The sequence below is a fragment of the Homo sapiens genome, chromosome 1, assembly GCF_000001405.40.
Source record: "Homo sapiens chromosome 1, GRCh38.p14 Primary Assembly".
NCBI classification, from domain to species: Eukaryota; Metazoa; Chordata; class Mammalia; order Primates; family Hominidae; genus Homo; species Homo sapiens.
The window spans coordinates 215706384-215729501 of record NC_000001.11 but is presented as its reverse complement, the minus strand read 5'-3'; the positions used below and the strand labels follow the sequence as shown (position 1 = coordinate 215729501).

Below are 23118 nucleotides of genomic sequence, written 5' to 3'. Positions count from 1 at the left end.
TGTTTCTAATACAATGATGGGCATATAACAGTGCTTAATAAAGTTGTTGATGTATAAGTACAATAAATGTAGAAAAAACAGTGGTCTTGATGTATAAGAAAAGATTGTCCATACTTTGAGAGGTTATGGTTTAAATTATAGAAGAGAAAATTCAAATGAAGAGAAATTAAGTGGCATCTAAGAAGTGAATTTAAAATACTTTGTAAACATCCTGGGAACAATTGCAAAAGAGCATTGTGCTGCATGAGAGAAAATAGGAACTGTGGACTTCCCTTCATAGTTCTTCATCATCCAGTATGCCAACCTGGGCTTTTTCACACAGTAATTTTATGGTCCTAAGAGCAGCAAAAGGATCATCCTCAATGTGCAAACACTTTTGAAGTCTCTGCAATCATCATATTTGCTACTGTCCCATGAGCCAAAAAAGTCATATAGCCAAGCTCAGAGTGAGTTTACGAGCATACTCGCAAAAGGCCTGGATACAGGAAGACAAACACATTGGGACCCTAGCTGCAATCCATTTATCATAGAAGGGTAAGGATTCCCAATAATAGCTTCTACTAATTCCATATCCTGTGGTTCCAGTTGTACAAAAAATAAAACCCCGATATAACTGCATGCATACATGCACACACACACAGACACATACACACAGATCTGGAAAATATATAAAAATGCATTAATAATGTTTAATATATGCTTCTGTATTTTTAAAAGATTTTAAATATGTTTGTTTTCTTGTATTGCATATGTATCTTGTTATTCAGCAAAAACATCTGGAAGATAATAAAATGTGATTTTGGATGAGGTTTCACCTTTTGTGCTTTTTATATTTCTTCTGTGTTTTCCATGTTTTCTACAAAGCATATGCACTCTTTTATAATCAGTCAAATACGTGTGTGTGTGTGTGTGTGTGTGTCAACTACACTTTAAAAATGATATGGAGTTAGGCCACTGGAGTACTTCTCCATCTGGTTTTTCTTTACTATGACACCAGGAAGAAACAGCTGAAAAGTTAAGTTGATAACAAATTCTAAAAAAAATGTTTTTACTCCATCTACAAACTTTGTTTTGAAGTGTGCAGCTGTCACTGGTTGCCTGCTTGGTTTCCTTTCAGACGCCCTGCTGGCATTGAAGAGGAGTCTGTTTTATTTGTCTGGTCAGAAGGAGCCCTTGAATTTATGGATGAAGGAGACACCCTGAGGCCTTTCACACTCTACGAATATCGGGTCAGAGCCTGTAACTCCAAGGGTTCAGTGGAGAGTCTGTGGTCATTAACACAAACTCTGGAAGCTCCACCTCAAGATTTTCCAGCTCCTTGGGCTCAAGCCACGAGTGCTCATTCAGTTCTGTTGAATTGGACAAAGCCAGAATCTCCCAATGGCATTATCTCCCATTACCGTGTGGTCTACCAGGAGAGACCCGACGATCCTACATTTAACAGCCCTACCGTGCATGCTTTCACAGTGAAGGTAAGACCCTTTAGAAAAGTAACAGACATGCAGATTATCTGGTGAATACGTTGAAATTAATTTTCTTGTCCAACTTCTCATTTTTCTTCACTTAGGGCTTAAATATATGAAAATCTTTCACTTGTGAAAAGTTGCAATGTAGTCACGGGGATAAGATACTGAACTGAGTATGAGGAGTATTGGAGACCAGTTTGTAGACCACGACTAATTTTGATTACCTCAAAACCAATAAATAAATTTTATTTATTCATAAAATTGCCTGATTTCCATTTTCCATATTTACTAAGTGGGAATATTTTTTTTTTGAGACAGGCTCTCATTCTGTCACCCAAACTGGAGTGGAGTGGCGTGGTCTCAGCTCACCACAGCTTCTGCCTCCTAGGTTTAAGCAATTCTCCTGCCTCAGCCTCCTGAGTAGCTGGGATTACAGGTGCCCACCACTGCCCAACTAATTTTTGTATTTTTAATAGAGAGGGGTTTTCACCATGTTGGCCAGGCTAGTCTCGAACTCCTGACCTCAAGTGATCTGCCTGCCTCAGCCTCCCAAAGTTCTGGGATTACAGGCGTAAGCCACTGCGCCTGGCCTAAATGGAAATAATTTAGTCTTGATTTCCATTTTCCATGTCTACTAAATGGGAATAATGTAATGCTTTCCTCCATACCTCATAGAGATGAGGTTCAGATGAAATTAGACAGAATATTTAATTTTCTACTTCCCCAACAAGCTAGTATAATATATAGCTATATATATATGTATATGTATATATGTATGTGTATACATGTTTGTGTATATATGTATTTGTATATATGTGTGTATGTATGTGTGTGTATATATGTATTTATGTATATATTTAAATATACACACACACACATACACAAAGTTGCATACACTATGGCTTACTGGTGATTTTTTTCAGGGATGGCTTCCTCTGGCCCATAGAACGACTTAATTCAGTTCACCTGAGCACTTAGTAGCTCCTGAGTGCTTTCTTTATGTCCAGCATAACCTCATGGTCTATGGAATATACAGAAACAGGATGGTCCTTGTCACAGGGAGTGTTCCGTTTTATAATATTGCAGAGATGAGAATTGCACATAAGGGGAAAAGAATGAGAAGCAGTTGAGTACAGCCTATAATGTCCACTACACTGAGACTTAGATCCCGAACTCCACTATCTACTAGCTTTAAACCACAGTACAAGAGAGAGTAACATCATATACCAAGTGTTAGGCAAGAAATGCTCTGGGAGATCAACTCTCAAACTGAAGATGCTTCATGGATAAGATTAAATTTTGTGGTCTTGGGAGTGAAATACAAATATGTGCCAAGACCTTATTAAATATGGAAAACCCTCAATAAGAACAAATAAACAGACAAACTAAAGCATTTATAAAAAAACCAAAAAACTATGTTTCTATGCTTTAAATCCTGGAAGGCCAATTTACATGAAGGTTATCTTATGGAGGATAACATTTATCAAAATATTTAAATTACAGTGAGCAAATATATTTTCATTAAACTCCAGAAGAGCCCTTTTAAATTAATAGTTTAAAGTACAATGTTTTCCCACTGTCCTCATGTTTAATTTTCTCATATGACTAAAAAATAAGCAATATGTAAATGAAAGGATAATTGTTTTATCTTCATTTTTATCTGTTTCAGAATTAGTACTATATTTTTATTAGATAGTAAATTATGTACTAGAGTCTTTTATATTATGTCTTCTAGTTCCTATATGATAAGCATTAGAAGCAGTGTTCTTAAGTGTAAAAGATACTTTTTAGTGGATATGTGATCCAGGAGGAAGTTCGTTACTTCCCACCATATCCTTCAAACTCATGTTCTAAACTTTCACCCTTAAAGTAAAACGTTTATGAGTATACTGAAACACCCTTGTTAATAGCTTTCTGAATGAGGCACCTTAATTTAAATATGTTTTTATTGAAGGCATCAGGATTATAATGATTAAACCTCTGATCTTTTAAAATACAACTTTCAGGGGTAGGAGCCTAATAATCATTTAGTCTCACGAAACAGTTCTATTGGAATTCCCTTGTGGAATAACCCTGTAAGTCATCCCTTCATAACCAGCTTCATTTTAAAACACAAGATTTAAAGTATATGATGAATCCATGAACTCTGTTCTTTATTTAATCTTCTAGGCTCTATTTTTATCACACTAAAAAGCTTCTGAAAAGAGGCAAGTGTATGGCCCCAAGCTTTAAGCGGCACAGGGCTCTTTGCACATGGGCCCTCCCTGATGTGGCTTTCATTTTGACAGTCCAGTACTGGTGTGCTTTTCTATTTTTCCAAAGATTTTTTTTCTTGCAATGTCGAATAGATTAGCCAGAATAATTTTAAAAACAATACTTCTGTGTCCTATTTTTGAATGTGTATGTGTGTATTCAAAGTGGCCTCCCAAAACCTAAATCTTTGGCTCTTAGAATTTCAAGAGAAGGCTTCATTAGATACACCAAGAAAGGTCCCACCTGATCTTTTCAAGCAAACAAGGACATCTTCCACAAAGCAATCTAGGCAAGTGTTCAGACCTTCTGGCCACTGGACCACGTTTTCAGGGCATCAGGGCAACTATGACTCTTTATGATCTGACACCTTTGAAGGAAGTCATCAGGAAAATGAACTAGTGTTTTTGTGTTTCACTTATTCCCACAGTCCCTGTGTAGGAGATTGTGTTCAATATTTTTGTTTAAAAGATATCTAGGCCAGACGCAGTGGCTCATGCCTGTGATCCCAGCACTTTGGGAAGCTGAGGCGGGCAGATCACAAGGTCAGGAGTTCCAGACCAGCCTGGCCAACATGGTGAAACCTTGTCTGTACTAAAAACACTATTTTTAGTATTTTTACTATTTGAGAGGCTGAGGCAGGAGAATTGCTTGAACCCAGGAGGCCACGGTTGCAGTGAGCCAAGATCATGCCACCACACTCCAACCTGGGCAACAGAGCAAGACTCCGTCTCAAAAAAAAGTAAAGGAAGTTCTATTACTTATCCAGGGTTCTATACTCCTCACCGTCACAGAAGAATGTTTCTTTTATCTCAGACAAATCCTGCCTCCTATAATTTAAGTCTATCTCCCTTTGTTCAGAGCAGCATGACTTCTCCATAATAGCACAAAGGGGCTTCAGGGTCCAACAAATTATTGACAATTCAATCTGATTTGGCAAATAACCATTGAGTACTATATTCAATATGTCAATATTGAATACCAAACTTAACTATGTTGTTGAAGTCTACTGTGAGACTTGGCCCTTGAGCAGAGCAGAGACTGTGAGGAAGAATGAGTGATTCGTTCTGAGGCACAGGCTATTACTGTTGGGCATTTTGGGTTTTTAAGCTTCTTGCAGCTGCGTTTCTGCTGCCCATGTTTAGAAGACCCCATTTCATTTTTATTTTTGTATAAACTTAATGGGTCCAAGTGAAGTTTTGTTACCTGGATATATTGTGAAGCAGTGAAATCTGGGCTTTTAGTGTAACCGTCGCACAAATAATGTACATCGTACCCATCAGGTCATTTCTCATCCCTCACCCTGCTCCCTCCCTCCCTCCCACCCTTCCGAGTCTCCAGTGTCTATTATTCCACACCCTATGTCCACATGTATATATTATGTAGTCCTACTTATAAGTGAGAACGTGCGGTATTTGACTGTCTGTGTCTGAGTTACTTCATGAGGATAATGGCCTCTAGTTCCATCCATGTTGCTGCAAAAGACATGATTTCATTCTTTTTTATGGCTGAGTAGTATTCTACAGTGTGTGTGTTTGTGTGTGTGTGTGTGTGTGTGTGTGTGTTTCACATTCTATATATATCCATATATATAATTACATTCTATGGTGTGTAAAATTATTCCTATTTAGTAAATATGGAAAGTGGAAATGGAAATCAGGAGATATATAGATATAGATATAGATGATATAGATATAGATATAGATATAGATATCACATTCTGTTTATGCAATCATCCATTGATGAACACTTAGGTTGATTCAATATCTTTGCTATTGTGAATAGTGCCGTAATACACATACGAATGCAGGTATCTTTTTTAATATAATGATTTATTTTCCTTTGGGTAGATGCCCAGTAGTGAGACTGCTGGATTGAACGGTAATTCTACTTTTAGTTCTTTGAGAAATCTCTATATTGTTGTATATTGAGAAATCTCTATAGGGGTTGTAGAAGACTCCATTTTAAATCGCATCCCAAGTACTTCCCTAGATCTACTTACTGTTTATCTAATTTCTGCACCAGGTAAACAACTTTACTGTCTTCTTTCCTTTCTGTGCCTGCTGTAGGAAATTTTTCAAGTTTTTGTTTATTGGCCACTCTGGCTAAAATTCTTCAGGGCAAAGGAACTACAGAACCTTCTCCATTAATGAGGCACAGAGTCCATCCCCACAACTGTAGGATTGCAGTTCAGTCCACAAACTCGCAAGAGGTACTGCTAATGCATTAGTCCCTTGTTTATTAAGATCTCATCTCTGCCCAAGGGGCCATCAATAAATTGCCCATGTTGTGGTGCCATCACTAGCTTGCCCCAAGGTCCCCCCAGAGTTGTTTATAGACAGGTGGATGTTGCTGAGAGAGCCACATAAAACAGGTGCAATGGAGGCATGAATTCTGCTTGTGGTGGCAGTGGATGGAGAACTGGCAGTGGGGGCCCTCCGTGGGGGTGAGAAGCGTATGTGTTGGCAGGAACAGCAGCAGCGGCAGCAGCAGCAGAGGCAGCAGGAGCAGAGAAATGGAAAGAGTGTGGGTTTTAATGCATCACTAGCTGCTCTCCCAACCTCATGAAAAGTTTCACCTCCCTACTCATCTCTATGTAGGTCTTTCTAAGGAAGAAAGAGGGAGATCAAGATTCTTGGGGTCTCTTTAGACCAATACCTTCCATTATTGAAAACAGCTTTAATTAGAAGGCCTTAAACTCCCTTCCCAATTAGCTCTGTGATGAATTGTGCGGTGTCAGGAAAGAAACTGTATTTAGCCTTGCTTGGCATGCAGGAGTTCCATGGTGGTATTTACAGGGAACACTCCTGGCAAGGTTGGCGATATTGCTACCACCATTTGGGTTTGTTTGCTTTTTCTCACTGGCATCTGCCATTGTGCTGGCAGAAATAAATCTGATAATTTGGGATTTTAAAGAAAAAGGTGGTTTACCTATTATCTGTGCCCTAACTATATCCTTGCTTGTTCCACGGGGTTATAAAACGTCAAGCCCAGATCATGCATTTGCCCAGTATCCTAAAAGATAAATGGTACTTCACTCTGTGTAGAATCAAGCATAAGGTGCTGAGAAATAAGCAAATTATATGGGTCACTAAAAATTGGCTTCCAATCTGGGAATAAAATCCAGAATTACTAACTCTAGTTTCTAGATTCTAGTTGCCAGGCTTCCTTTCCCAATGTCAAGGAGGAGGTAGTCAAAATTTCCTCAAGGGTTTGTTTCCTATATCTTTACCATTAAGTAGATATGTGGCAAAAATAATAACAATAATAATAAAATAGATATTTCACAATTGCCATGTTATGAAGAGTGTGTGAGTAAATTGATAAATTTATTTTTAATCCCATTTTCATTTTGGCTTAGATAACATAAAATATTACTGCTCTTTACATATGATCTTAAATTAGTTTCAACTCTTTTTAATTTGATGATTCTTAGCCTTTTCTCCCCAGACACATTTATTAGACAACAGAAATACTCTGGGAGATGTAGCTTTCTAAAAGGACTCCTTTGGTGACTATCTTTCTAATGTGAAGAAAAATTCAGTAATAAAAATAATTATCATATTTCCTGGGTCGGTTCTATAAACTGAGATTTTCACATTTTATAATAAGAAATAACTGTGTCATTCTTCTATATAAAAGATAGAAAACATGGGTGAGTAAATATCACACAAAACAATGAATATTTGTCGGCCTAACCCTTTTTTTTTTTTTTTTTAAAGAGACAGGGTCTTGCTCTGTCACACAGGCTGCAGTGCAGTGGCACCATCATAGCTCACTGCAGCCTTGATGTCCTGCACTGAAGTGATCCTCCCTCCTCAGCCTCCCAAGTAGCTGGGACTATAGGTGCATGCCACCATGCCCAGCTAATTTTTTAAATTTTTTGTAGAGATTGTGTCTCACTAAATTGCCCCAGCTGGTCTCAAATTCCCGGCCTCAAGAGATCCTCCCGCTGCGGCGTCCCAAAGTGTTGGAATTACAGGCTTGAGCCACTGACCATGGCAAAACTTTTTAGTTGTGATGATATTTTAGCTTTAATATCAACTTTTCATTTACTTGCCTTACATAATCTTTAACCCTTTTGTCTAATTTGGGCTAGACAAATTAGACTTTCAGACAAATATGTATTTGTCTGAAAGTCATAAATACATATAAAGAATCTACCTTTTGCTCAACATTATTGGGGATGAAAACCATGTAAGTCTTTTGAAATTTATGTAATTACATCTTTGAAAGAGCCATATTTTTCTCCAACCACTTTATCCCAGCAAGCTCCATCAGGATTCCCTTGCTCACCCATCAGTAACATCTAAGGCAGGTCCCATGATTTTCCAGTCACTTTTCAGTGGCAAGGATCAACGCAACTGGTGATTAAGACTCATTCCAAGTGTTTTTTAAAAACTTCAGTCTAGACTGGGGGCGATGGCTCATGCCTGTAATCTCAGCACTTTGGGAGGCCGAGGTGGGTGGATTACCTGAGGTCAGGCGTTCGAGACCAGCCTGGCCAACGTGGTGAAATCCTGTCTCTAGTAAAAATACAAAAATTAGCCAAGCATGGTGGCTGGTGCCTGTAATTCCAGCCACTCTGGAGGCTGAGGCAGGGGAATTTCTTGGACCCGGGAGGTGGAGGCTGCAGAGAGCCGAGATTGCACCATTGCATTCCAGCCTGGGTGACAGGGCAAGAACCTGTCTCAAAAAACAACAACAACAACAACAAAAACTCCAGTCTAAATTAAAACCTGATATGTGCTTAAGGATCTGCAGTGGGGAAAGAGGGCATGGTCATTTTCCTCTTTCTTCAGTTCCCTCTTCTCTTATTTATTTCCCCAGGATCATGGCATGAAAAGAAAGAATTAGACAAAAAGGAACAGAGCTTTACTCAATAATATTGCTCTAATTAATCTTCTATTAATTTTGAGGGGGCAGATGCCTCATGGGATTTTCTCTGTGGGTTATATAGGGGTCCCCATAGGAAATTCCATGCCTCATAGTCCTCTGATGCAGGCAATACACTCTCTGGCTAATTTCTTACTATTTGTTATTGTCCAAGAGGTCCACCCTACAACCTTTTTTTGCCTCTGGGGGCCCTTCTCCCAAGCAGGCAGCCAATATCAAGTCCTATCACGTTGACAAAACTCATTCCTTTCTTGGCACCCACTAGGATTGCAGAAAACTTTGGTTTCACCAAATAATGAAGGTACAGCTTGTCCAGTACTATATTCTCTGCTTGACCTATCATGCTGGATGAAACCTAGCCAGTCTCCTAACTTTGGAATTCATTGACTAAGACACAGGTATTAGCTTCTGTGCTAGCCTATTATCCCAAAACTATGGGATCACTTAAGGATTTCAGAAGACCCTTTTGACTCTAGTCATTGCATCAAAATTGTCCTATGAATTTCATCAGTGCAGTAGGAAGCCTCTTGCCAAGACCAGACTGTTCATCTCACTTTTCTGGCAACACTCCCAATTTCTTCAAGAGCTTCTCTTGGATATTCCTTGCATGCCTTGAAAGGGGAGTGTGGAGAAATCCCATTCCCTCCCTGAAGTGGGAAAGATATAACCAAAGCCTCTTTCTTCTCCACTGAATCCCCTTCTTTAATTTTTTTTATGAACTTGGATCTTCTCATATAGGTTGTCTACATAGATCTTCATAGGAAGATGGATCTTGAAGTCTGTTTTTTCCATAAGTCATGCAGTGATATGTCTAGCTGTTCCAGTAGAGTTACTTACCACCTATTTTTCTAAATCATACTCATTATTCTCCAATACAGTTCTGTTTCACATCCTATTATATAACTAAATGGCCCTATCATCTTTCTAGTTGCACAAGCCAGATCATTTTTGAGTCCTCTCTCTTCCTTACTTCCATATCAATTCTTCACTAAGTGCTATTGATTCTATTTCCAAACCATATCTTAAATCCTTCCACTTGAAGACAACATTAGGATCTTCACACATGTTAATCCCTCCTCCTGGAATGATGGCTCATTCTCCTATAATTCATCTGTCCTCATTCTTACTCATCAAGTCTGAACTAAAATGTTGCTTATCTCATAGGGCTGCTGCAATGACTAATAAATTAATGTATATGCAAAGTACTGTAAAGGGCAATATAAATAGACTATAAACCTTTAGCAGTCCTTCTTTTTGAAAAAACAGAGACTGGAATAAATTAGCAAATGTAGATAAGGTTCTGGTTTGTCTAGGCAACTGTACTAATTTGGTCATGAGTGAAAAACCTTATGTTTTATACATTTTAAGTGTTCCTCACCTTGCAATAAAATTCTGAGCTTGCAAATTTACATGTTTCCTGATACCACATTGTTAATTTCCCTGTAATTTTCCAAATACTGGATTAGGTTCTATTTCCTTTCTAAACTGCCTGAAGCAAGAACATGCTTTTTTTTTTTTTTTTTTTTTGTCTCCTGAGGTTTATTACGGTCTTATCCCTGGCCCCCCTGCCCCAACAACATCACATACCTGCCAGTCTAAGAGCCCTCCTCAGGAGATTTCCACCCTATATGTAGTTCTCTTTACCTGACATGACACTCTTAGGACCCTACCCTTTCCCTTAGATCTGGGATTATATCAGCAGAACATGATGAGGTATTTTAGTCACACACACACACAGACACACACTCTCACACTTCTCAAATCATACAAATGGATTCTGCCAAATTGGCATCTACCTACTTCCCCTATGCCAAATAGTAGTTTATCAGTACATGAGGGACAGTTAGTTGGTGGGGAGACTGTTTGACCTGTGAGTCAAGTATGTTGCTATTTTCTGGCCTTTAACCAACTTACAAGGAAACCCTCTTTAGACACCTAAGACTCCCGTGGAGCCTTGTCAAAAATGTCTGTGAAAGTAAAATGAACTAGTCCACATACTAACAGGCCCAGGCCATAAATTCAGAATATATGCCATTTAGCAGAGACAGCAAGCTGTAAATGGCAGTGAAGGGCAGAAGTTAATTGAACTACTCTGCTCTTGTCACAGATGGAAAGTAGCCACTACCTGAGACAAGATGGCTGCCCCGAAGTACCCTATTACAGCCAAGAGATCATATCCTTAGCTCTGCAAGGGCTTATGGGTGAGGGGGAAATCATACACAGATGACCAATTTTTTTATGGTTCACAGCCGATAAAAGTGAAATTCAGCAGCTGTTCAGGACAAGTGACCACTGTAACAGCTGTAATATAACCTACTAAATAGAGAGGGAATTGCATTAGAGCAAGAGGTTAGCTGTGATCATCGGCAGGTGAGTGCTTTATTGAAGTTGAAAGACCATTAACATTGATAGAGTAATTATTTCAACTTGAAAGTAATTACCTTGATGGGTGATAACTTCTCTAGTGTTCCCAGATTTGATTGGGCCAAACAATTGTGAGCTCCTGAAGCCTAGAAAAATATTACAACAATACTGTGATTTTTAAATTACTGAAACCACTGTTGGAATATTCTAATTATGCCGAACAGTGAAAAGATTTTGCCTTACACAAGCTAGTGACCTCTCATGTAGAGAGAGACATTTGCTTTTTAATCCAAATGCAATGACCCACACCCACCACCTGTGAATACATATGTGATGGGTTTGCAAATGAATCTTTTTATCTCAATATAATTTTTAAGGTGAAACATCTTGTTAGTGCTGTGCCTGGGTAATAGTAAGCTAGAACTGCTGACATTTTTGATCATATCTATGGACTTGAAGTCTCCAGAATGGCAACTATCTTCTATCTTTGTCACAGAGGGTTTAAATTTGTATAAATTAAATATTTTGATAATGACTACACATAAATTAGAATTTCTGGATGCCACGTACTTTGGATCCCAAATTTCAGATATTATCTAGTTACATAATCAGTTGTTTAAATAACTTTCTCGCCTGATGTTATGCAACTCCACTACAAACACTCCATTGTCAGGGTATTTTCCGTTTACCTACACTGGACATCAGCAAACAAAATTAAAGTTGAAAACCTGGGCTATTGCTTCTCTGTAGTCTCATGAATATATGAAAATTGCAAGTTATTTGCAATTGAGGGCCAAGACACATCAAATCTAATTCAGTGATCAAGACCAAGAAATACAGGGCTCTTCCATTAATCAGTTTTTCACCATATTTCTCTTTTGAGAATCTACTTGGTCCAGAAGCTATAACAGATACAAACAAACGAGAAATAGTCTTTTCTCTCTGAAACTCGTCGTGTATTTGGAGAAACAATAAGAAAAGAGACAAAATACAATGTAATAAGCAATCATTTTGTCATGCATGGTATTGATTGTACTTATAAATAGTTACAAGAACCTAGGAAGACTCTAGCCCATACTCCTGAATCCAAACCCAGCACTCATTCTATGGAACCACAAACCATTGACAGAAAAAACACAGGCATCATGATTCTTAGTCATGTTGTCAGAAAAGATGAATGTGACATCACCTTAAAGTTCCTGGATGATTCCGTAGACCTTTCTATCATCTTGGCAGGGTTTGATCAGATGATCAGCCAATGAATGACTATCTTTTTGGCGGCACTTCCCAGGAGTTTTTTCTAATCAAAATCTCAGACTCTCCTAGGGACAAAACAGGTTTCTACTTGTTGTCTAAGAGCCAATAAGGAATGTTTTACCAAGCAGTTAATGGGTTTCTTTCATCTCTCCATCTCGGCTCTGAATTCCCCTCCATAGACAAAGTCTTTGGGTCTCTGTTTCAGAAATTACCGTAGGGTAGAAATCTCTGCCAAGCCAGAAGACATTTGCCCACTGGAAAGTAATGTAACTGGCTTGAATTTGGTAAAAGAGTGAAGGTTTGAGACAAAAACATACCACTTGGGAAAGTGATAAAAATTTATGAATTGAATTGTAAATCTTGCCATTAAGCCAACCAAAGAGTAACAAAATCTGACCAATCTGACAGCACATCAGAGTTCTTAGCACAGCAGGCTCACCATGTGTCATATACAGCCAGGCTAAAGATTGTATTAAGGACCCCCTTAGGTACTCTGAATTTAAAATAAGTGTAATAACTCATTTTTAAACATTTTATATGATACTTGAATTATTAAATATTCACATTACAAAATCAGAGAATTTTAATCCATTCAAAAGGGTGGGTTGTCTAACACTGAAAGATAATGGTCATGTCTAGATAGTAAAATTACAGTATATTTTTAACGGATGTACATGTTACTTTTTGACAAGACACAAGTAGTGAATTTTATCGTACAAATTCCTATTGGGTGATTATGATACAGAGTTTTATTTTTGCTAAAGCAATTACTAATGTCATGGCTGGATACCTGTGCCCATTAGTGGCTGGTTCTGTGTTTTTTTAGGATGGTTATTGATCTCTTGCTGAGCTGAGATTCAGGTTTTATGCCAGATAGCTTGATTAATGGGTTGGTTTCTATAAGTGGACTGAATGGGGATAGAAAGCAGGGGCAGCCTGCTCTGCCAACCCCAAATCCGTCAAGACGCATAGCTCATTATGAAACAGTTATCAAGGATACATGAAAAATTAATTGGGCTCAGTTTGATTCTGAAAAGAATCGGCTTTCTACTTGGCGGGCCCCCCCGCCCCCCTTCCACTCTTTCCAGATGTTCTGCACCAGCCCCTAGAGAAACAGCAAAGGGAGACGTATTAATACATTGTATTGATTAGATCAAGACCCCTGACAGTTATTTGTAGAGATACCATCTGGCTGCTGTTCGAATTCCTTCACCAAAAACAGGACGTGACATGTTATTAATCTCAACTCTCTAAGTATAGACAGTTGCCTTTTCTGCTAAACCGCATTTTACCATTCCGTAGGAGATGGAGGAAGACCTGAAGGGTGCAGAAATTAAGGTTATTACACAAATTGAGCCATATGGTCCAAATATTTCAGCAAGAAAATTGCCAGGCAATAAAAATTGCTCCTGCCTTCCTAATGGTGTAAATTACAGTTTAACCATGGCTCTAATGATGTCCTTCTGCCGCGCTTAACTACTGTTACATGAAGGACATTGTTTTAAAAATATAAAAAACAAGTAAATGCCAGCAGCGTGTTTTACAATCTGTTAGTGTGTCATTAAGAACACTGTCAGAATTACATAAACATAATGGCAGGCAACCCAGCATACAAAGGAACTCGTATGGAAATAGAAAGTGTCTTGAAAACTCTCTTCATTATCTCTGAAATGTCAAGAGCACTGTCCCCTCTGGAAGTTTTCTAGGGAGAAAAGACCTGTCCATCTAGTGCTTTATTCTAATTCTCATGTGTGTCCCAACAGCAGTGTTTTCTAAATCAAGTGTCACAACCCATAGTGAGACTAAGTACACATCTGGTACCACAACCCTGTCCATATACAAAAAATGAAGCAGACAAGGTGAGGAGACAGCTAATGAATTCTAAACAAAATGATAGACGTTGACCTTTTGAAGTATTTTTGTTTTTGGGGAAAACAGTTAAGACTCCACTATCTTCCTTGATGATGACATCAACAATTAAAAGTATAATTTCTATCCTCAGCAAACTAACCTGGCAACAGAAAACCAAATACCACATGTTCTCACTTGTAAGTGGGAGCTGAACAATGAGAACACATGGACACAGGGAGGGGAACAACCCACACTGGGGCCTATTAGGGGGGTGAGGGGAGGAAGAGCATCAGGATAAGTAGCTAATGCATGTGGGGCTTAATACCTAGGTGATGGGTTAATAGGTGCAGCAAACCACCATGGCACACGTTTACCTATGTAACAAACCTGCACATCCTGCACGTGTATCCCGGAACTTTAAATTAAATTTTAAAAGTATAATTTCTGTCATCCCTATTTGGGGCATGATATTAAGAGGAAGCTTACTTAAGATAATCAAAAATCTTTGGGAATTACAATAAAGACCATTAATATTTGAGTAAGACTTGAACCCTTCAAATATTTTTAGACCTATTACACCAAAAACACCTCGGCACTTAAAAATTCCATATAGGTCATATTGATGTTTTATTCTCTAAAACTGCACAATCCTCCAAGCTTTTTGGTCTTCTAAGATGTTATAAACACAGTTTGTTAAAGGAAAAGTCCAGATAAACGTTTGTAGAAAAATTTGAAGGGAAAACTACTTTTAATTCCCAGAGGAGAGTTGCCTTATCTTTAAGCCCTTTTTCCTTCTCCATTTCCCCAAAGGGAGAAAGACCAGGATATAAATTGCCCTTTAAACTAAAAAAGAAAAAAGAGAGGGAAAAAACCTAGGAAACCAAAAAATTATTCTTTTTGCATGCATGCATTAATATTAATGAGAACCCATTAAGTTATTATTTCCTCATGGCACAAATGGCAAGGCTAGCAATCTATTGACTAGAGCATCTTCTGCCTGGAAAGCTCTTACCCAGGTGTCCCCATGGTTGGCTCCCACACTTTCTTCTGGTCTTAAGTGAAAAGTTACTACCACTAAAGCCTTACCTGGCCTACTCAGCTACAATTTCACTCCACTCTCCCTCACACACACTTTCTATTCCTCTTCTGTCTTTATTTTTCTCTTTAATATTTAGCTTTTATTTCTGGTTTCTTGCTAACCTGTAATCATATTTCAGAAATTGTTTTTCAAATGCTTTGTTATGCTTCTTATTTCACCTAAAAGGAAATCTGTATGTTCACAGCTAAATCAAACTGAGAAAGCATCATTTATATGTTCCAATTTCAATTTATAAGCTGACAACTTCCACATAAAACATATTATGGGCACTTTACACATGCCATCTTATTTCACCTCAATAACCAATCTGTGGAGTATTATTACCTAAATTTATTAATGAGGAAATGGAAACTCAGAGAGGTTAAGTAGCATACCCAAGGTCACACAGCTAGCTGCAGAGTTTGGATTTGATTGCAGCTCTCTCAGCTTCTAAAGCCTTTTCTTTCTGTTATCCAGTATTGCTTCTTGAGTTTCAGCCTAGTGGAACAAGATGTTATTTATGAAAAGCTAAACATCAATGAAAGCCACAAATTATAGTTCAATAGGACAAAGAGATGACACAGAGCTTGATATGATTCATTGCCTAGTATAAATATAGAAAACAATTGATAAAAGTTTCAAAGAATTAAAAGATCACTTGGACTGGAAAAGTTCAGAGAAGGCTTTTGGGAGAGGTCTGTGCTTTGAACAATGGGTGAAATTCAAATAGAAGAAAAGTAGAACAGATATTACCTTATTCAGGCAAAGAAACAGAAGCCTGGTTTTGAAACATCTGATGGCAAGTCTCTGCTTCAGGAGGTCACATGGGGAATATTTTTCCAATATGCCCCCATTAATTGGGCTGATATTAAAACAACTGATTTAAAAAAAAAATCAAAATACTCCCAAGAGATGCCTAGCAAAGCTATTGAGTGAGGTGGTTAGCAGCATGGGTCTGGGGTCAGGAAACATAGATTAGAGACTGGCTTTGGCTTTTTTACTCATTGTATGCCTTCAGGAGGTTATGCCTAATAGTGCCTCCCGCAGAGAGGCAGCACCTCTTAGAGTCGCAGGAACTGAGACGGCACTCAGTAAATAGTGGTGAGTAAGATTCAAAATAGGTTTTCAGAGAAGAAATCAGCACATGAAGATATCATGGTGTCATAGTGTGTTGACAGGGTCCTGTCTGGAGATACTAGTCCAGAATTTCAAAAAAAGGAAAAGTTTTCTTCTGGCCGGGCGCTGTGGCTCATGCCTGTAATCCCAGCACTTTGGGAAGCCGAGGTGGGCAGATCACCTGAGGTCGGGAGTTTGAGATCAGCCTGGCCAACATGGCAAAACCCCATCTCTACTAAAAATACACAAATTAGCCGGGCATGGTGGTGGGCACCTGTAATCCCAGCAACTTGGGAGGCTGAGGCAGGGAGAATTGCTTGAACCCAGGAGGTGGAGGTTGCAGTGAGCCGAGATCTGCCACTGCACTCCAGCCTGGGTGACAGAGCAAGACTCCAAAAAAAAATAAAAGAAAGAACAAAAGAAAAGAAAGACAGGAAGGAAGGAAGGAAAATTTATTATATTTTCTTGTTTCCCCTGCATTCCCTAATACCCCTTTCCCAAAAGTATGGATTTCTTCACTAAATATGTTAGTAGCAGAATGGTCTTGTGGCAGTTGACCCAAGACTCCAGGTAGAGCAGTGGGGAAAGAAAAGACAAGGCCAGCCAAGAGGCCAGCCAAGAGGACAAGCTCCTCCAAAGGTTGACTTGAGATATTAAACTCATTGAAAAAGTTACTCAACATCCACAGTGTTCTGGTGGTACCTCACTTAGTCCTGGACAATGAATCACAGCCCAAGCTTCATCATTGAATTGGTGACACTGCCGAGGGCCAACTCACCAGCCTTCAAAAACGACAGTGCTGCTGACAGCAAAGGCGATGAGGACACACATGTGCATCCACCCTTGAGATGCTAAAAGAGGCAGGAAAGAACTTGAGGGAAAGAACAAATCACTCTTCTGAGATTGTCCTATAAACTTTATACCAGGACCTATGCTATCATCCTCCTTACCTAATCATGTTTAATATCTGATTTATAAGAATCTAAATGTGTACCTAAAAGTAGCTTTCTAAATATTACTGGGCCACATTAAACTGTGACCAATTTTCTTCCTTCCTGGCCTACCACATTTTAGAAATATGATAGCATATTTGGGTTGGGAGTCGCTAAAGGCCTCAAGAGAGTCCATCTCTTTGTCCTTTCTGACTAGGAAGACCTGGTCATCACGCCACAAGCCTTGGTGTCTCGTTTTTAACAGAGCAATAATTATTTATTAGTGGAATATATGCTTATTATATCCAGAAATTAAAGTTGTTAGGGGACATTTGTGTATCCAGGTCCCTGTGGCTGGGTGATCGCATCTGTTAGAAATAAATCACTTTAAGAAAATTATATTAGCCCCACAGACAGTCAAGAATGGAGCAAAGGGAGGGAAGTGTGAATAGGGTGAGGAAGCTTGATTTTAAATCTTGTGAAATAGAGTGTGGTCAATATGTTGTCAGCACATTACAGTGTGCAGACATCAACTCCATTTTTCCCCTCTTTGAACCTCAGGTGGCCAATTAACAGTATATGCTATTTATTCATTACAAAACAGGCAGGACAAATTGAATGGTTAGAATGACTAATAAGAATTCTTAGCAAGGAGTAAAATAAAAAATGATACATAAGGAGAGACCCCCCAGAAAAACTTTAGGGATTTCCAGAAAAAAAAGTCTTGAGGAGTTTTCCTGTTAAATGTATCTAGAATTTCTACTGACATGAGGAAATTAAAATGGAAAGATTCTCTTTGAATACATTTTCTTCCTAAAATATGTTCTCTTCAATTCCCTCATTTGTATTTCCTTAGAGTTTCATTCCTTCCTAAAGCAGAAAGACAGTTTTAAATTACTTCTAGCAATTATAAGTATCATTAGGGTGTTTTGATGCTGCATTTTTACAACAAGCACTGTGCTTGCCTTCCTTATTTGTCTCTCAGTTCAACTCCAAGTCGCAACACAGGAAATGAAAACCTTGTAAATTGACTTGATCTTATGAATACTCACTTTTGCAAATATGAAAGAACTTAAGAAGGGATTATAAAATACTCCTTATCTATATAATTAAAATTCAGTTGAAATATATGAATTCAATATTTTAATTCATGCATTTCATTTTGCGGGCATTCAAAGATTATATGCTTCTATATGTCTGCCATTGATTTCTGTAAATAACATTATCTCTCTTATTGCAAAACGTACATCAGAAGAAGTTGGAAGAAAGCGAGGGCTTGAGGGATGTTAAACTGAAGCAGCAGTGACTTACTATGCAGTGTTAGTAGATTGCTTGCCTTGAGGATCTAGAAGCCGATAGAAGAAATGGAGCCAGCAAATAAGAAATTTCTTATTTCTTATTCCAGAAATAAGAAATTCTGAACTTTTACCTTCAAAGATCCAAAAAGAACATGCTAATGTTCTTTTTTTTCTAACTTTTGAGTAATTTAGTCATTCTCGTTCAGAAAATTAAGGGTCTACATCTGGCAGCAACTGAAATAAATGGCTCAATTGAGTACACACTTGAATGTCAAATATATCACTTTAAAAGTCAATATTTGTTTCAGCTGTAAATGTTTCTGAACGGAAATGATGCTTTTAGTGTCTGTAGTCTAAGGAGTAGTTTTATTTTTGAACCCTCAAATTGAGTGCTCCACCTAGAGCCGTAGGACCCTTTCCTTTCCATGAGGAGAGCGCCCTCTACTGGGTATGTTTACTTACCACGCATGACTGTTAAGACCCTGAGCTAAACGTATGAGCAGTTGAGATGTACATAAGAAAGAGTTTTTGGAAAATCTTTGCCCCTGCTTGTACTAGAATGATTGCAAGTGTGGAAGTAGCCATAGTTCACTGTAGTTTTCTTTTTACTGCTGTATTATTGCACCCTGTTGGGGGATACATCTGAGCATTTCATGTGTCCTACTTTTAAAATGCCCAGATGGTGGCTACGTGCTTTGGTTTGAATTGGGCAGCCCTCATCTTTCATGCTCTGTAGTCTGCCTCGTTATCAGAGAGACATGAGACAAGGAAAATTCTTCCATTTTTCAGCTCCTCTTCATCTGTTTCTAGTCACCCACAGTGAATGATGCACTTGCACAATTGTTAAAATGACAGTCACTGTGATAACTGAACATCACTTCCCTGGGATGGGGAGTTCCCTATGTACCCATAGCTTCTTGATTCCTTCCCAATACAGCACCTTTTTCAGTGTAACTGATCACTTGCAATCTTGTAAGTAACACAGCAGTGAGAGGCAGTGTAAATATTTTATACCTTGCCCCAATCACTTGTATGTGCATCGGTCTTCTTCACTCTAGCCTTTAAGCTTAACAGAGATTTTAAATCAAATCATTCAACCCTAGAAATAGTCAAAAGAATTAATAAAATAAATGAAACAGTGTAACTGGTTAAAATAGCCCCAGTGCACAATACAGGTTTAGTATGATTTTGTGACATACACATTTTATAGGGCTTTTGTCTCCAACTACATTCTTCAAAGAGCCATCTGGGCAATGACCATAGGTATCATTTTTACCAATAATAGTCAGCACTTCCCACTGGGAAATTAGTCAAGGGAATGAGTTTTTTTTTTTTTTTTTTTTTTTTTACAAATTATCTTCAAGCATCTATCTTCCAAAAAGTATTACTGGACTTTGTCCATTACAAGGCAACAACCTAAGTGAGTTACTTGTGCTCTTATTTTAGAACTTTATTCATCAGATCATTGTGATCAAACTCAATTTCATTTTCAAAGAGGAAAAAGATTTTGCTCTGTTTTTCTTCTTAATAATAGGTTTGCTGAAGGAAGAACATTAATACAGGTCAGCGATCTCCAAACTTTTTAGAATATTCACTTGTAGAAATAATAATTTGGGGAGCACACATCTGCATAATATGTATATTTACTTATTTGTAAATTATAAAATATGTACTAGTTAAATAGTATCATTTACACTATAGAAATAGACATTTTTAAAGGAGTGGAAATAGATAAAATTATCAAGAAAATATTTTATTATGAGCAACTACTATCAATAATACCTCAAGGCACAATACACACTGAAAGATTAATCATTAATGATGCTGAATGTCAATCTCTTTCCTGAGTGTTCTTGATCATTTCAAAATTTTGTTGACACTTCTGATCAAATACAATTGGACCATTCATGTTTATACCTCATGCTGTGGTTGATAAGGAGCTTGAAGGAAGGAGAATCAGACTGGCCATTTATTTGTTCTTCATTTATGTTTGTATTGTTAGTGTTATATTTGAATCATAAATTTGAATTCTAGGAATTTTGAAAGCCATTCATGTTTCCAAAGTTAGTATACTTAAAACCAGATAATATAATCCATAAACCCCCTTAGCATAGAACCATAAACTACAATATGTCACTTGACACAAGGGGTCCAGAACCCCGGGGACGCAGACCAGTACTGGTCTGTGGCCTGTTGGGAACCAAGCCACACAGCAGGAGGTAAGTGGAGGGTGAGCCTCACCACCTGAGCTCCACCTCTTGCTGTGCTCCACCTGAGGAGTGGAGCACAGATCTGCTCCACAGATCAGCTGTGGCAATTGCTTCTCACATAGCAAACCCTATTATGAACTGCGCACGCAAGGGATCTAAGTTGTGTGCTCCTTATGAGAATCTAACTAATACCTGATGATCTGAGGTGGAACAGTTTCATCCTAAAACCATCCCCACCTCCCCCTTCCATGGAAAAATTGTCTTCCATGAAACGGATCCCTGGTGCCCAAAAGGTTGGGGATCACTGCTTTGCACTAAAAGCAAACAAATAGATGAATATTGTTAGCTCCTCGCTGTAAAACTCCCATTCTTCCTTTTCCAAGGACAGATACAGAACTTAATTGATTCATTCATTCACTCATCCAGTCAGTATGTGTATGCATCTAATATATGCCAACTGGGTATATGACAGTGAATAAACCAGACAAAAATGCTTCCCTCTTGAAGCTCTTACTCTAGTGGGGAGATAAAGACAATAAACAAGATAAGGAAATAAAATATATACATACCATACATAAGCTAAGGGCAATGGAGGAAAATAAAGCAGATTCCAGAGTCTCCATTATAAAAAATACAACTTTTGCAAATTGGTCTTTAGTTCTTATTGAGTTTAAAAGGATGTTTCCCTTCCACATCCTTCTTCCCACTGTCTTCTGGGATTTTTGCTTCAGATATGATGGTCAAATTGCTTATTATAAATTCCCTTCTAAGATTCTATGAGTTTTAAATTTGTTTTAATTGTTCACATGTTGCATTGAATGATGCAATTGTACTCTTCTAGCACACAGAGCTAGTAAATTTCCTATATATTGATATTTAAAGCCTGTCCTTTTATGGAGTATTTTGTGACCACCTAAACCCATGATGATTTCTTGTGTATACACCTTCAGTGCTTGGTTCCCATGTATTTCTCTAGTGGTTTCAGAAAGGTGAGTTTTACATTCCTAATGGATTACAGTTCCTAAAATCCAGTATGTTCATACTTTCTACTTTTATTCCTTTCCATTTAGTGCCTAGAACCATGCCAGAAAAAGACATAATTTGACTGTGGATTTAACCCTCAGATCACAAACCAATCTCAGAGCTTTATTTTTTTGCTGAGAGTTTTAAATAAACTATAAAGTCAAATTTAAACAATTATCCTTTGGAATCAACAGAACCCCACATTTCCTTAGCTTTCCTTAGCTGTTCCTATTCCCAAGGATCACATTCAGAGCACTCTTCTTGAGTGACAGTGATGTGCCAGGTACTTCACAGAGGTCATCTGTTTTAATTGTCACAAAAGCCCAAGAGAAAGATACTAACTGTTAGAAATCTAGCTCAGAAAAAGTAGATGATTTACCTAAGGTACATCTAGTGTGAGTGACAATCAGAACTTAAACTCAATTCTTCTAAGTTGACTGCTGTTTTGATTAAAGCGCCTGGGCTCTCAGAAGTGGACTCTTCCTGGGTGTTAGTCACAAGGGCTTCTCAGAATTTTTCTCCTACATATGAGACAGCAGATCATTTCTGCCTCTCTGCTAAGATAAGCCAAGCAAAATAATAGATTGTAGAACAATTAATAATGCATTCAAAATGCCAAACTCAGCACACTTTCTATCCTTTGTGAAAAATTTTGTTCCCATTTTGTCCAAATGTCTAATAAAAATGATTGTGGAAAAATAAAAACAATCTTTGATCTGCCTAAATGAAAATAAGAACCACAACTTCTAGCTCTCAGAACAAATCAAAGTTGTTTTTATTTTTAATTAAGTATGCTAAGCTTAAGTACATTTTCTCTTAAGGTGTAATTACTAAACCATGATGATTTCTTTTTGTTTATTCATTTAAAACACAAATAAAAGCAGATAATCAATAGATCATAATCTAAAACTAGAGGATTTACAAGTTAATAAGCTTGAGTCAATAGATATTCCATAACAAAGCTTTCAATGCTGAACCTGACATAATTTGCTTTGCACTAAGCTGGTTGACTTAATGCTTTAATTTAATTCCAATATTAACTGAAAAATCCAAAGAAAAGGGGAAAATTTAAATCCTATTATACTGAAATATGTTCAAAGCAACAACTCAATATCCTGCCACAACTGCTTAAGTGTGCCACCAAATGTCTGCTTAATCACCTGGTTTCTGATTGGTGATAACCAGTTAACCCGTTTGGAGCCTGGTACAAGTGAATTGTGGAAGTTTCTCAGTGGTCCATTCATGCAATAGCTTTTATCTTAGCCTCAACAGTCATCATATTTTCATCTCATAATGTCTACTTTTCCTGACTTATGGCCAAATTATTGGAGTTGTTTTTATTTGAAAAGCAATTTCTCCTTGTCTCTTGAGATTACC

At 37.9% G+C, this 23118-nt stretch overlaps 1 protein-coding gene across 1 annotated transcript in view; it reads left to right on the top strand.

Annotated features, from left to right (window-relative positions):
- USH2A (usherin) overlaps positions 1 to 23118 on the top strand; it is an 800558-nt gene that overhangs the window by 693947 nt on the left and 83493 nt on the right. The window contains exon 61 of the mRNA NM_206933.4: positions 1118 to 1472. Coding sequence (NP_996816.3) covers positions 1118 to 1472 — 355 coding nt within the window. The remainder of the gene's footprint in view (positions 1 to 1117; positions 1473 to 23118) is intronic.